Raw genomic sequence first — 15,515 nt, forward strand, 5'->3', positions numbered from 1 at the left:
AATGTAGATACACAGCGTATGCGAGTTTGCTTTTGATTGGACGTAAGAAGCAAGATCAAAGAGATATACCAAAGGACTCAGAGGCTAGTCACATATAAACAAAATCTGGGCCAGGTGCAGTGGCTCATGCCTGTAATCCCAGCACTTTGGGAGGCAAGGCGGGTGGATCCCTTGAAGTCAGGAGTTCAAAACCAGTCTGGCCAACATGGTGAAACCCCGTCTTTACTAAAAATACAAAAATTAGCCAGGCGTGGTGGTAGGTGCCTGTAATCCCAGCTACATCGGAGGCTGAGGCAAGAGAATTGCTTGAACCCAGGAGGTGGAGGTTGCAGTGAGCCAAGGTCAGGCCACTGCACTCCAGCCAACAAAACAAAACAAAATCTGACTCCGCCTTTCAGTCACGCCAGTGAAATCTCTTAATGCCTTCAGTGTCAGTCCCCAACTCTTACTAATTAAAGATCGTATTTGACCCAAATGTGCACAGTACACAACACCTTAAAGAGAAATGAGGTGAATCAGATAAATGAACAGGTTGATATTTTTTAAATTTGTCCACAAGCTCTTTGATATCCCTCCTTTCAAATCACAGCTTAATTCCCCTCCCCTTGTGAATGCACTGTATTTAATGACTGGCTTCTAATGAATGGAATAAGAAGTAAGTTACCATAGTAAACTAAGTAATAAAGGGTGACTAAGTAATAAAGGGCATTGCAGCTTTCTCCTTGACTTCTCTCTTGGATCACACTCTCAGCTGCCATGTCATTAGAAGAGCCGAGCTGCACTATAGAGACACAAGAGGTGAGAAACTGAGGCCTCCTGCCAACAGCCATGCAAGTGACTCATCTCGGAAGTGGATCTTTTAGCTACAAAAAGCCTTTGGGGCACTTTAGCCTTGGCTAATATTTTAACTGTAACCTCTTGAGAAATGCTGAGCCAGGATGACTCTGGCTAGCTAGACTATTGCCAAATTCCTGACCCACAGAAACTTTGAAATAACAAATGGGATAATTGATGAGGTAACAATAAATAACTAGTACAACGCTGAAAGAGGAGAAGGTATATAGGACTTTTCTCCATCAAAGGACAGAGATTATTGAATTGAACAAGGGAGTAAAGTACAAATAGTCCTGAAATTGATCCAGCCAACTTTTGATCACTAATCTCTCCCTGCAAAGGAAAGATTTAATACTTTTCAAAATTTCAATCAAGTCTTCAGTATATTCAAATTCAACTCTCTAGTATACAGATGCTCCTCAACTTACGATGGGGTTATGTCCTGATAAACCCGTTGTAAACTGAAAATACAGTAAGTCGAAAATGCCTTTAATATATCTAACCTACCAAACATCATAGCTTCACGAGGCCCTCCTTAAATGTGTTCAGAACACTTACATTAGCCTACAGTTGGGAAAAATCACCTAACACAAAGCATATTTTATAATAAAGTGTTGAATAATTTATTGACTACTGTACTGAAAATGAAAAACAGAATGGCTATATGAGTACTCAAAGTACAGTTTCTACTGTGTGTCACTTTTGCACCATCATACAGTCAAAACACTGTTACGCTGGGGCATCCTAAGTCAGCAACCACCTGTGTATATGCTCTTGTGGTTTAACGGCAGCACAGTGCTATGCTTATGAAATCACTTAGAAATTGACATTCTGTTTTAATGTGTAGTATTTCAGTTTTCAAAAAAGAATACACTTTATAATTTACAAAACTATATGGAGTCATAAACTTCATAGATTTATATGTATGCATGCATCTTTGGTTAGGGTTGTGGGTAAATTTGAAAAGCTACGCATTACCCTCAAATTTATATAAACCTCTACGTTTAACAAAGCAATTTCATATAGCTTTCATCTTGGGGCGTCCCCTTACAAAATGGATGCATGCACTTAGGTAGGGCTCACTTAACTATCTAATAATGGAGTTTTTAAATATAGACACTAGAATATATTCTGCTGTTTGTTCCAAAAACCCTCTTCTTCGTTTCTCTTATCCCACCCACGTCCGAATATAGCATGCCAAAAACAGAGCCAAAAACAAGATTGTCTGTGACATATCTGTCCTGTCACAGACAAGGACAGATTAAGAGGACCAGATCAGAAAATGTGTGTATACTAAGTAGCTCAAAGACAAGGGCAAAACTTTAACGCAAAGAAAATACATTCAGAGCTTTCCAAGTCCCAATTTCTTCTGCTTTTACAGTTCAGCCTAGTTAGTTGTCCTCCACGCCCCCCGCCCCACGCGCGTTTGCGTTTTCTTAATAAACCCACAGCAAGACCTAGGGCGGGGGTGAACCACAGCGCATGCGCCGTAGGGAGCGACCTCAACAGCTAGGGTGCTGTTTGGGCGGGGCCTGGGCGGGGCCAGACGCGCGCGAGATTTGAATTTCCTCTGCGTGCGGTCAGTGCCCGCGCAGCGTTGAGTTGCACAGCGGTATTCTCACCAGGCCCTGCAATCGGTGGGCCACAGTGCCGGCCACAGAGATGGTGGAAGGACCAGGCTGTACTCTGAATGGAGAGAAGATTCGCGCGCGGGTGCTCCCGGGCCAGGCGGTGACCGGCGTGCGGGGAAGCGCTCTGCGGAGTCTGCAGGGCCGCGCCTTGCGGCTCGCAGCCTCCACGGTTGTGGTCTCCCCGCAGGTGAGCTACTCCTGTAACAGGCCATGCAGTCAGCAGGGGGGAAATGGAATAAAGACCCCATCAGGGTTCCAGGATTTAAAGTGTCATCTCTTTGCTCTGGCCCAGGTTTCCTGGGGTCCCACCTTTCACAGAGTTTATCGTCACTTTACTGTAGGGAGAAGTCGGTCCTAGCGCGCCTGCGCAGGAGAGGAGGGCTAGCGTTCTGGGCTCACGCTGCCGGAGCAAGATGCCCTAGGGGAATCCAGTGAAGGTGTTTTATCCGAGTCACCTTACTTAACTTCTTTATGATACACACATGGTTTCCCATGTCTACAGCTGCATTTTTTACTATTGATATTATCAAATCTCTGCTACCTCTGATATGTTTTCTTCGTCCCATTTTAAGCTTTTAGCATAAAATTCTACTTTCTTGCTTGGCTAATCTGCAATTGGTAAGTATATCACAACTAGTATATAATTCTAAAACTACACGTAGAAAATTTAGCACTAACTTCTCACTCAACTTCATATTGCCATCTAATTAAGGGGCAATGAAACCCAGTTCTGGTTCCCTTAAGTGAATTTATTTCTTTTTAAAGTAAACTAGCACAGCTTCTTGCCACTCAGGCATTCATTGCAGACGATGTGGTATTCATTTGGCCAGAACTTGTACTAAAAATATTCTGATTAAGGCATCATGTTTTAAAAGCCCTCTAGATGTATGGATGATTGTATTTCATGCCTACATGCAATATTGCACTGTATTTCAATTTCTTCTGCAAAGCTTCTTATAGCCTTTGGTCCTGGAAGAAAAAGTTGCCTGCTATGAAATTAGCATATGCTTACAACTTGAAAGAAATGAGGTTCTAAGTCTAAGAAAATATATTTTCAAACTTGGGAAAAAATAAGTTTTACATCTCCTTCCAATTGCCCTTTTGTTTATTTTGACTTGATATGCCAGTAAGTACTCTGTACCTATTTTTTTTTATTATTGTTATAGTGTTTCTAAAATCGTTTCAGGGTACCACAGAGATGGATTTTAGATGGTTTCTTAAGAATATTAATATTTATGAAAATTACTCATTCAATAAAATTTTGAATACTCAAGACACCTGGGGAGCAAAAACAAATACTTCCTCTTTTGGAGCCTATACTTCAGTTGGGAAGACACAAAGACATTCATTAAATAATCACCTAAAGAAATATAAATTAATAAGTTCTGTGAAGGAGAGATACACGATTCTTTAAGGACTTGTAGGAAGACCTGGGAAGGCTTCCCCAGGGAAGTAGCAAAGCTGAGGTGTGGGCCGGGTGCAGTGGCTCATGCCTGTAATCCCAGCACTTTGGGATGCTGAGGTGGGCAGATCGCCTGAGGTTGGGAGTTCAACACCAGCCTGACCAATATGGAGAAATTCCATCCCTACAAAAATAAAAAATTAGTCAGGCATGCTGGTGCATGCCTGTAATCCCAGCTACTCAGGAGGCTGAGGCAGGAGAATCGCTTGAATCCAGGAGGTGGAGGTTGCAGTGAGCTGAGGTCGCGTTATTGCACCCCAGCCTGGGCAACAAGAGCGAAACTCTGTCTCAAAAAAAAAAAAAAAAAAAAAGCTGAGGTGTGCAGGGTGAGTAGAAGCCATGCAGCTCAGGGATTGGAACAGGAAAAAGACTGAAAGAAAGCCAGAGTAGACACTGCCCTCTCATTTAGGAGTCGACTGCAGAAATCCAGGTGACAAATTTGGGGTCAAGTGCTGGTGGTGGAGATGAAGACAAGAGAATCACTATGATGGGAGGGCTAAGCAATGGATATGACATGAATATACTTAGGGATATCATCATTTACATCATTCAACCACAACGTATTTTGTGTTAGGTTTTATGCTAGCTCCTGCGGATACGAAGATGAGTAGGATATGCTTTCTGCTGTGAGAGTCCAACCTAATGTTTTAAATAAATATCACCTCATTGGTATTTAGGAAAAATAGCTTAAACATTTCCTTTTAAGTTTTGTTGTGATTATCTCTGATGGTATGGCATGAGATGCTTTTACATTTCATTCAGTCATGAAAAAGGATAACCCTATGATAAAGGATTAACCTGATTCTACAGATGAGGCATATGAGGCTCAGAGTGACTTTAAGTAAATTTGCCCAAGATCACATGTCTAGTAAGGGGCTAAACCAGGGTTTGATTTTTCTTTAAAACTCCAAAGCCTACCCTCTTAACCATGCCATAGCTCCTCTCAGCCATAAAAGATTCAGTAGGATCTTTATTGCTTTTTTAGCATACAACGGTAAGAACACCATAATGCTCAGTATATAGTAGTGGTTATTTATTAAATAGAAAAGTGCAATCTTGGATTTTTGGCTGTGTCTACCACCATTTTTAGTTTTGTTCGGTTGAGTCAATTCTCTTATATCTATTCTGATAATTCTCTTCTAACAGCTTCTATGGCCATGTTTGGATTGCACAAAAGAGTGCAGCCTGATAATATAATACAAATGCGTCAGTAATGGTTAGGCAATTATTAACATCACTTGGCAGCAATATTCAATAAGTTATACCCCACACATAAAAAGCCTGGCATTTAAAGGTATTATTTTTGATACCTTGATAGAAAGAGGCATTAAAAATTGGAATAGGTCTTTGTGGTTAGTATCAGGAATCTGGTTCTATGGACACTGGATTTTAAAATCAATATGGAAGGAATACATTCTTTGAGGCTGTTGGTAAATTTCTAAATAATTTACTATGGCTTCATTTTCTGGGACTTTGATCTGAAAAAAAAAACATAATTATAACCTTTTGTAAACATGAAGAGTCTTTTGCATTTTAGAGGGATCCATAGTAAATTTCATTAAAACATGGTAGGTTGTCACAAACCTCTGGCAAGATCATTACTGTAGCAGATGATCCCATGTCTCCTAGGCATTTATGCCAAAGAGTTAAAGCTATTTAAATGTTTCTGCTACTGGCTTGAAATGATTAGTTTTCACAAGGCAGCATTTAAAAATAATTTAATAACTGCATACTGCATTCTTTACAGTGCAGTAAACATGGAAAAAGTTACTAATGAGAGCTAAAGAAATATTTAATGGGCATTCAAAATAAAATATTTAAACCTCAGATAATCATACCAAAAAACAAACCAAAAAACACTACTTCAGTAGTTATTGCCATAATGGACTGTTACTGTGTCATATAGCATTCCTCTTTGTTACAGTATAAAGTTTATAGAGAACACACTTGAATGCATGTCTGCCTGTGACAACTGATCCTCATTTTGAGAAAACCTAGCCATAGAAGATCCCAGCATCTGCTAGTCATGGATGTACTATATTATTTTTCTGAGTCGTGATCCACTGTCTTGTCAGCATAAAATTGTGCAACAGTATAAGCAAATTGCATAAAACTCTGCTGGAGATTGTGGAAACTTATGGTAAGAAACAATATTGGAATATAAATGAACATATCTGGTTAATGAGCTTTGAAGAGTCAATCCTTTGATTTTAATTGTTGGGTGGATACAATATTTTAGTGAAATCATATTTAATCTGCATGTGTTTTCAATCTCACAAAACAGGATATGAAACAGTTTATAAGCATTCATTTTATTTGAAACATGGTCTGATTATTTCCATCACTCCTTAAAATTTGATACATGTATTTAATATGCCAGCTATTTATCGTTATATATGCTTCACAGTGTCAGGAACTGAGGAGACATTTAATAAAAGTTGAATGGATGGAGAAGAACAAGGTTTTGAATAGTGCAAAGTGATTAAAGATTTAGAAATAAATTCCATTTGGACTCTTTCATTATGAGAATGTGTATATTTTGTTGTGCATGTTATATGGAAATTCCTACTACCAGAATATAAACCAGGTAGTAAATTTTCCTTCTTCAAAGTGGGGGAAAAAAATCGTGGCTCATTTTATTGCCATTATTTAAAGAAATGAGCTAATCTACAGAGATTCATTTTCCAGCAAAATGAGGCTCATTTCTTTAAGCATCTGAAGGGGATTTCTAAATAATTTAGAGAACATGCATTATATACTTCCTTACCTTCTTAAATGGATACTAATAATGATTTATCCTTAATGACTCAAGATCATCATTATTGGTATCCAGAATCCTATGGAATCATGAAACAAGGGATAACAAAGAACAGAAACATTCTTACAAAGGAGGAAAAAGGGGAGGTGATTTTCCATGGCCATTGTAGCTTTTTATCCAAGATGAACATATTCGGCATGCTGCAGAGAAGAGAGCATCTGATCATCTTGATTTTGAATTCCCATTTTTTTGTTACTTCCTCGTCTGGAGATGCTTATTGTTGCATCTTAGCTTATTTGGTCAGGATTAAATTAAGCAGCATGTAAAATTCTTAGCTTAGTACCTAGCAAAATAAACATCCTGGGAATTGTTCCTTTTTCTTCTGGATCAGAGCTTTCTCACCAGACCCATTTATCTGAGGAACACCCTATTTTTATGAAGGGTTTGTAATCATTTGGTGCCTTCAGATAAGGTACAAAGTCTTTAGTCTGAGTAAGTGCTTGAAGGTCCTGCACTTAGAAAATTGTAGAATATGTTTTTGATGAATGGGCCTGAGGACCTCTATTTTGTTGTTTAGAAATCACTTTAAAATTATATTCTTTGATGACTTCGATTGGTATTTAAGAGATCTCTGATTAAAAAGTGTTGTTGTAGGCCGGGCGCGGTGGCTCACACCTGTAATTCCAGCACTTTGGGAGGCTGAGGCGGGCAGATCACGAGGTCAGGAGATTGAGACCATTCTGGCTAACACAGTGAAACCCCGTATCTACTAAAAATACAAAAAATTAGCTTGGTGGACGCCTGTAGTCCCAGCTACTCGGGAGGCTGAGGCAGGAGAATGGCGTGAACCCAGGAGGTGGAGCTTGCAGTGAGCCGAGATCGCGCCACTGCACTCGAGCCTGGGCAACAGAGCGAGACTCCGTCTCAAAAAAAAAAAAAAAAAAAAATGTGTTGTTGTACTGGGGGGAAAAGTGTGTGAGGAAAAGAGGAGAGAGTATGAAAGTAAATATGGTATTTTCTTCTCTATAGGGAAAATACTTAACTGCACTAGGGTTGAAACATTTATCTATGGAAAAGTCTTATTCTGCTCTAAAAAGTTTGTCTTTCTTGTCCATCCATGGATAGGCAGGATAAATGGTAATCAGCACAATAAATCATGTGCTGTCTCTGAAAATACATGTTGTTTTGAAGATTTCATATTATTAAGCCACTTGAAAATGGGAAGGTGAACCCTTCTCAATCATACCTAAACTTGTGTCAAAGGAGATTTTCGTCTTTATTTCAGAAAAAACTAAAAAGGATGAAATGTTCAAATAATACAGTAATGGATTATAAGGGTCAACATGGGAAAGTCAAGTGTATATTGGACAATTACGTATAGTCATAGCAAAGATAACAGGCTTATGGAAATTAGTTTTTGAATTTGGGCAGCAAAAGCTTGTAGAGAGCAGTGATAACCCTAGATTCTATGGTAGGACAAGTGAATATCTTATAAATCTTAGGTTTATTGCAAAAACCTTGCCCAGTTTGTACACAATAGCTCTTAAAACAAGTAGAACAAACCATTACCAGTATACCAGAATTTTACCTTAAGATGGATTTTTAAAAGAACAGTGAAAGATATATCCAGGTGCTTGCAATGGCCAATTGTAAGTTGAAAATTTTATTTTATCCCAAGTATATTATCCAGAGCTGATTATTTTAGAAATGATAGAGTACCAGGAATCCGCTGACTTGGGTAAACCATCTGCATGATAGACAACTGAATAAAAAAATCTTGATGTGTCATTTCAAAACCAAAATTAAGCACAGTAGTACCACCTGTCCACAGAAGGTGCATTTAAAGACACCCAGCGAATGCCAGAAACCATGCATAGTATCGAACCCTATATATGCTATCTTTTTTCCTATACATACAACCTATGTTAGTTTAATTTATAAATTAGGTACAGTAGGAGATTAATAGCAATAACTAATAATAGAACAGTTATGACATACTGTAATAAAAGTTAATGTGGTATCTCTCTCTCTCAAAATATCTTATGGTACTGTACCGTGAGTAACTGAAACTACAGAAAGTGAAACCTTGGATAGGGGAGAACTACTGTATTGGATTAGATCTTTTTAGAGCAACAATTTAAATGCTAAGTAAACTTGTCAAATAAAAACCAGGCATTCTAGGACTGGTTGCTAAACACAGAGGAACTCCTCCCTAAACCTTCCCATATGGTTCATTTAATTTTATGGGAAATTCTGGTAAGTAGAGTATTTTACTTCCATTATAGCTTCTAGTAGTCATGAGGATTTGGTCCTCCTATGTTTAAATCTCACTCCATTGCAGGTAATTAGAAAATAAGATATTGGGATGTTAATGAATTTTAAAAGGAGATTAAGTAGATGGTAGAGTAGAAGATTTTGCCAAGATATCTTGGGAAGAGTCAAGCAGGATGGGGATGGTGGGAGGGGAAGAAGTGAATGTATATTTTAAAGCCACACTTGGTTTTCAGAGCTAAAGGAGGAGGCATCTATTTAATCCCACAAATGTGCACTGAACCTCAGGCATTGTGTAAAGCCATCAAGGATATTAGCTAAACTTGTTACTGTCCCCAGAGAGCTTATAGACAGGGGAGAAATGCAAGTCACAGACAAGTAATAATTCAGTATAGTAAGTACTATGACAGTGGTTTAGAAAATACTATGCGAAATTTGGCAGGTAGAAAGCCTCAAGATTATCCTACTGTCCAGGTGGGGAAACCCTAGGCCCAGAGAGAATTACAGACTATATATGTGAGCAAGGAAGAGGTTTTACTAACATTGCATTTTAATACCCAAATACCATCGGGTATTAAAAAAGGAATTCTTAAACATATTCAAGCCAAGGTCATATAGCATCTGTACCTAGAAGAGTTTCTGCTGCACTGAAGTCATTTGATATTTTTAGGTTAATGTTTTTCTATAAGTTAATATCTACCTTGAATTCCTTCACTTGCTCTTCTGTCAACATGTATGTTACAATATTAACATTCATCAGGCGATAAACATCTTTTTTCAACATTGGTAATTTCAGAGTTTTCATTTTTTAAAGATCATATTGTATGTTGTTTTTAATTGCAGAGAATAGGGTGAAACACCAGTAGAGCAAATAAGACGTGTATTACACCTTTAAGACTTTAGTTGGAGGTTCTCTTTGAAGCTCTGTCAGCTAGGACAACATATTTCAATTTCCATTGACAGCCATGTGAAGATATATAATGGTCTCATGCATTTTAAGTATATTGGGGGCTTTGTATTTTTGACTCCTTTTCCTTTCACAACAGAGTTTATTTACAAGGGAACGTATTACCTTTTTTCTTGTTAATAAGTGGCGCAGTAAACATAAGGTTTGAAGAACTAGCCACCAAAACTTTGTTTTGCTAAATGGCCACATCATTTTCCACGGTTAGAACTTTCTTTTCTTTTTTTTTTTTTTTTTTTTTTTTGAGATGGAGTCTTGCTCTGTCACCCAGGCTGCAGTGCTGTTGAGAGATCAGCTCACTGCAGCCTCCACCTCCTGGGTTCAAGCGATTCTCCTGCCTCAGCCTCCCAAATAGCTGGGATTACAGGCATGCACCACTAGACCTGGTTAATTTTTGTGTTTTTAGTAGAGTTTTCATCATGTTGGTCAGTCTGGTCTCAAACTCCTGACCTCAGGTGATCCGCCTGCCTCGGCCTCCCAAAGTGCTGGAATTACAGGCACCGTGCCTGGCCACCATGGTTAGAACTTGCTAAAATCTCTGATAGATGACAGTAGGTTTGCAGATATAGATGTCTGCTCCAGGATAACCTTTGATGCCTTGAGGCATAAATCCTGGAAATAATAAAAACTTCTTTCAAAAAAACCTATCCCTCAGCATTGGTTATGAGGGACGTTTCAGCCGTTCTTTTCATAAACTGTACATGGAACTATATTCCCCACAGTGTAGGTTCTATAGAATCTTGAGGCAGGATCTTATAGGCTCATTTACCACATAGGAATTCCCTGGGGGAAAATCTCTGGTAGAAATCAGGATGGCTAGTTTTGAGTCTCTTCCTAATGAATATTATTAGGAGTCCTAAGCATTTTAATATTGGGGTAAAAAGAAGTTGAGGTTTCCATTAAGAACCCTTACTTTTGTCAGTTTTTTCCTGTTTGTTTTTTCAATTGATCTCACCTGAAATGTATGTCATATGGTGGTTTGAGGTTAAATGATACAAAAAATTTTACACATTATTTCTGTAAGTATTTTGGTTTGCCAGTTACAACAAAACTCAATGGGGCAGTGCTGCTGAATTAGATTTGGGCGTTTTGATAATGGGGCAGTTGTCTTCATGGAGTAGAAAACTTCCCCAGGAAATTGGCAAAGTTTTCAGAACTGATAGAGTAAAATCAGAAAATCTATCTACTACTCTTCCTCTTGTTCTCTGGGCCATGGCATACAAGGGCCTTTGCTCTGTCATTCCTTTTGCCTGGATCATGGCTCACTTATTTAAAACTTGCCCAAATTTCAATTCCTTGATGAAATTATGACTGCTCCTTTAAAATTGCAACCCGTTGCACCCTCCCCCAATCTTGCTCTCTCCTTTTCATCTCCATTTCTTTTCCGAATGTTCTAACATACTGTGTTATTGTGTTTATTGCCTACTCTTTTTCTACTCTTTTTCCTTACTAGAACATAAACTCCACGAGGGCAGCTGGTTTTAGTTGTTTTATTTATGGATGCATCCCAAGCATCTAGAACAAGGCCTGACACATAGTGGAAGGTCAGTAAACTTTTCTAAAATGAGTTTATCCAGGTAAACAGCCATTTTTAATGGGGAGGAGGATCATCTTTCCAGATGTCACGTGCCACTTTTGTTGTAGACAAAGCCAGGTGAATAACATGAACTGTTACAGGTGTTGGCTTTTGGAGTTTTTAACTAAATGGTGTAAGTTCTTGTCAAAGCTGTTAACTTGGTGATGTGAGCAGACTTCACATGAGACATTTGGGACTCGTGTACTGTCTTATTAGGTGTTGTGACAGCACTGTCTATTTCAAGGTTACTTCTCTGTCTCTTTGCTAGTAGCCATTATAAAACCTGGTAAAGTCAGAACTAAGCAGAAGAAAGAAGGTCCAGGTAGGGAGAAGACAAGTAGTGAGTGCAGGCCAGTCAGATGGTTTCCCATCTTGGAAGAAGGGAAGAGAGCCAGTCAGGTGCACTGAGAAGCAGTGATATGGTAGCTGACATAGGATTTCATAATTGGCCAATCGGACATTAGATAGATGTTGAGTTTCAGCTTTAACTTTTTTTAATTTCTTATTTTTAATTACAGTAGGCTTTTGGGGGAACAAGTGGTGTTTGGTTACAAGGATAAGTTCTTTAGTGGTGATTTCTGAGATTTTGGTGCCCCCATCACCTGGGCAATGCACACTATACCCAATGTGTAGTCTTTTATCCCTCACGCCCCTCTGTCCCTCCCCGCAAGTCCCCAAAGTGTAATGTGTCATTCTTATGCCTTTACATCAGATGTAACTTATAAAACCTAAAGGGGTAAAGGAGATTAAAGCACAGGAGTGGCAGTAGTAGCAAATTCTTTCCTACCGAAGAAGCAGGGAACGCTACTATATATGAGAGAGAGAGAAGGGTGTGTGTGTGTGTAAAATGGGATAATATTCATCACCTGGCCTCTGCTGGGAGCTCTAAGAAAAGCTAGAAAATTTCACAGGGTATGGCTAAAACAAGTTGCTAGTAAAGAATGTTGGAAAAAGATAAGAGATTGTTGACATTGGAGTGGTGGGGAAACAAGGCTCTCACCATTGACTTATAAATGTGGGTTTAAAATGTTAGTAAGAACTTAAATCTGAGATCCTGAAAATGTACAACCTAATCTATATTGAGACAAAGATCTATATCTGCTTTGTATATCATCATCTTAAAAGTGTCCTGGCAAGTTTATAGGAACTTTTTACATACTAATTGGTTGTCATGGAAACCTACCTTAAAACCCACTATTGTAATCTATACTTGGCCTGAAGTGTATTTAAGTGACTTAAAGTCTCCTGTTAAGGAGAAAAGCATCAAGATTCTTGGTGTTTGTCAATTCAGGGCTCTAAAAGATTGACTTATATAAAAAGAAGGCAAATGTGTTTTTTCCTCACTGAGTACTCAAGCCTGCCTTCCCAGTGCTTGATAATTATTGATAGGTACTAGAGTTCATCCCAGAAAGGGCAACCAAAGACTGAGCTTTGAGGACATGGTGGCATATACCTACAGTCTCCAACAGGTTCTTTTTTTGTGATTTGTGCAGAACAGGAAGTGACTGCTGTCTTTTTTTTTTTTTTTTTTTTTTTTTTTTTGAAACGGAGTCTCGCTGTGTCTCCCAGGCTGGTGTGCAGTGGCGTGATCTCGGCTCACTGCAAGCTCCACCTCCAGGGTTCACGCCATTCTCCTGACTCAGCCTCCCGAGTAGCTGGGGCTACAGGCGCCCGCCACCATGCCCGGCTAATTTTTTTTGTATTTTTAGTAGAGACAGGGTTTCACGGTGGTCTCGATCTCCTGACCTCGTGATCCGCCCGCCTCGACCTCCCAAAGTGCTGAGATTACAGGCGTGAGCCACCGCGCCGGGCCTGCTGTCATTTTTAATTACTCCTGTGCATTTAATTTATCTGTCATTCTAAGCCAGTGATTGATTCTCCAGTTCTTAAACAAAGGAGGGATATATAAAGCCAGTCGCCTGAACTTCAGGCAGTTGGAAAATTCTGGCATTGACTGTAGCTATTTCAACCTTGAATGGGTTTAGTGGAAGAATAGTGTCTGTCTCTTTTTTTTTTTTTTCTTTATCTCCCTGTTATCTCTCTTTGAGCTAAGTACTGTGATTGTATCTTAACAAAGACCAATTTAGTGAAATAAAGAATAGAGTGGACATGTCATCTTAAGCATTTAGAATGACAAATGTCTGTAAAATCAAAAGTTTGAGAATCACTGAACAATATCATTTCACTCTAAATTGAGGAAAAATTGTGACTTGTTTCTAGACTCTGTATCTAAAGCTGTTTTATAATTATATCTTGACATTTCCCCACTCCCACTGCCCACCAAGGTTTCGTTCAGAATCTTCTGAGGATCCTTAGGCCCATTTGAGAAAAACACAAAAGAAGTTAGAGGTAAATGAGGATATTACCTTAGACTGAGTTAATGCGTAGATGTAATTCTGTGTACCCTATTTTATCTTATATAATAATTACGCATGTCTTAAGTTTTACATTTTTATTACATTTTGAGTTTAAATTAAATAATGTTTATAAAACATATATAAATAATAAAAAATAATGACATAAGAAACACCAGTATACATAATGCTCAGTTTAAGAAAAAGGGCATTACTAAAATCTAAACCAAACGCCCTTTCTTTTCTTCTCCCACAGAAGAACCTACATTTTATATTTTTGTTTTCTGTTTAATTCATGTTTATAATTTCCTCGAATATCTTATAGGATTCTGCCTATATGTTGTCATTCTAACAATATATTGTTTGGTTTTGCAAGGCTGATGGGGGAAAGGGAATATGAGTTTATTTTTTCTTTATTCTTAACATTGTGCTTGGAATAGGACAGGTCTCAAATTAGATTCCCCTACTCAGGGGGCCGCAGGTTTTTATCTCTGATCTCCTGCACCCTCACAAGATGTGAAAATTGAAGCTCTCATTCCTTAGTTTCATGTGAAAATTGAAGCTCTCATTCCTTAGTTTCAATCAATGCCCTTAGGATAGATGCTGGCTTCACAGCTCTCCCTACTACCTCTCAGGGTTCTCTCCCGCTTTTAGTTTTTGACCTTTTATTATTTCATACTAGCTTAAAAGTTCATCGGTGAAGTTAAAAATATTTTGTTTTCATATTTTATCATCTGTCATTTGTAGCTGTTTTTATCTGACCACTCTTTCAGGGAACTTGGCTATATACTTCTGGAAATGGAAGAACCTATATTCCAGTTTTTAGTTTTAGAACATTCGTGTTGTATTCCTATGCTTTCTTTTCATATGCACAGAGCTATATGGTCCTGGAAGAAACTTTATTTTGCTTGTCTACCAATTACTTTTTTTCACTTAATTTTTTTGGCCTCTCTCTCTTTAAATGACTGCATAGTGATTTGACAAAATGTATGTAAACAGCCGATTACATTACATGACTTGTTGGAGATTATTCTTCTCATTGGAATGCACCTGGGCGTGAAGTAATATAAACACATTTAAGAATTAAATAATGCTTTTGCTTAGAGTTTGTGTGTGTGTGTGCTTATGTGTGTACATGTATTTTCCACTAGGCTGCTGCACTGAATAATGATTCCAGCCAGAATGTCTTGAGCCTGTTTAATGGATATGTTTACAGTGGCGTGGAAACTTTGGGGAAGGAGCTCTTTATGTACTTTGGACCAAAAGCTTTACGGTAAGATAAGCCTGTACGATACATCTTATCTCTCTATATTTAAAGATGCGTAGAAGGCTAGATGGAGTTTGCCGGGTGTCACATTTAATCATATAGGAAGTACTGTGTTTTTAAGAGAGCTCCAATATGAGAGGTTGTGATTCTATCATGGAAATCAATAAACAGCAGAAGAATAAATTCTGATGTCATCATCACTTGGAAGACAGTCATTTTACAGGGCTTCCCAAGATGTATTAGAGCAACACATCTGTTTTGCTAGTCCCCAAGCTTCCTATACCACAAGTCTCTCCTTGTTTTTACCGAATGCTTATTGTATTCAGTGACATCGGTTACTTTATATTTGTGACAGGCCCTAGTTTGGTTTAAATGTATCACTTGATCTTTAAATATTT

At 38.4% G+C, this 15,515-nt stretch overlaps 1 protein-coding gene across 2 annotated transcripts in view, besides 2 other annotated features; it reads left to right on the forward strand.

The window, feature by feature from the left end:
• Window positions 2,298–2,417: a silencer, noted in NCBI's record as "silent region_15818". NCBI's record gives its function as "represses an Ori minimal core promoter by ATAC-STARR-seq in GM12878 lymphoblastoid cells {active_cell/tissue: GM12878}" and the evidence as "EXISTENCE:reporter gene assay evidence [ECO:0000049][PMID:35858748]".
• Window positions 2,417–15,515, forward strand: part of NEIL3 (nei like DNA glycosylase 3) — a 61,395-nt gene continuing 48,296 nt past the window's right edge. For both annotated transcript variants that reach the window (XM_047415894.1, NM_018248.3), the window contains exons 1-2: window positions 2,417–2,652; window positions 15,002–15,123. In XM_047415894.1, the coding sequence (XP_047271850.1) occupies window positions 2,497–2,652; window positions 15,002–15,123 (278 nt within the window). In that variant the 5' untranslated portion in view covers window positions 2,417–2,496. The remainder of the gene's footprint in view (window positions 2,653–15,001; window positions 15,124–15,515) is intronic.
• Window positions 2,498–2,587: an enhancer, noted in NCBI's record as "active region_22169". NCBI's record gives its function as "activates an Ori minimal core promoter by ATAC-STARR-seq in GM12878 lymphoblastoid cells {active_cell/tissue: GM12878}" and the evidence as "EXISTENCE:reporter gene assay evidence [ECO:0000049][PMID:35858748]".

The sequence above is a fragment of the Homo sapiens genome, chromosome 4, assembly GCF_000001405.40.
Source record: "Homo sapiens chromosome 4, GRCh38.p14 Primary Assembly".
In the NCBI taxonomy this organism is placed as follows: domain Eukaryota; kingdom Metazoa; phylum Chordata; class Mammalia; order Primates; family Hominidae; genus Homo; species Homo sapiens.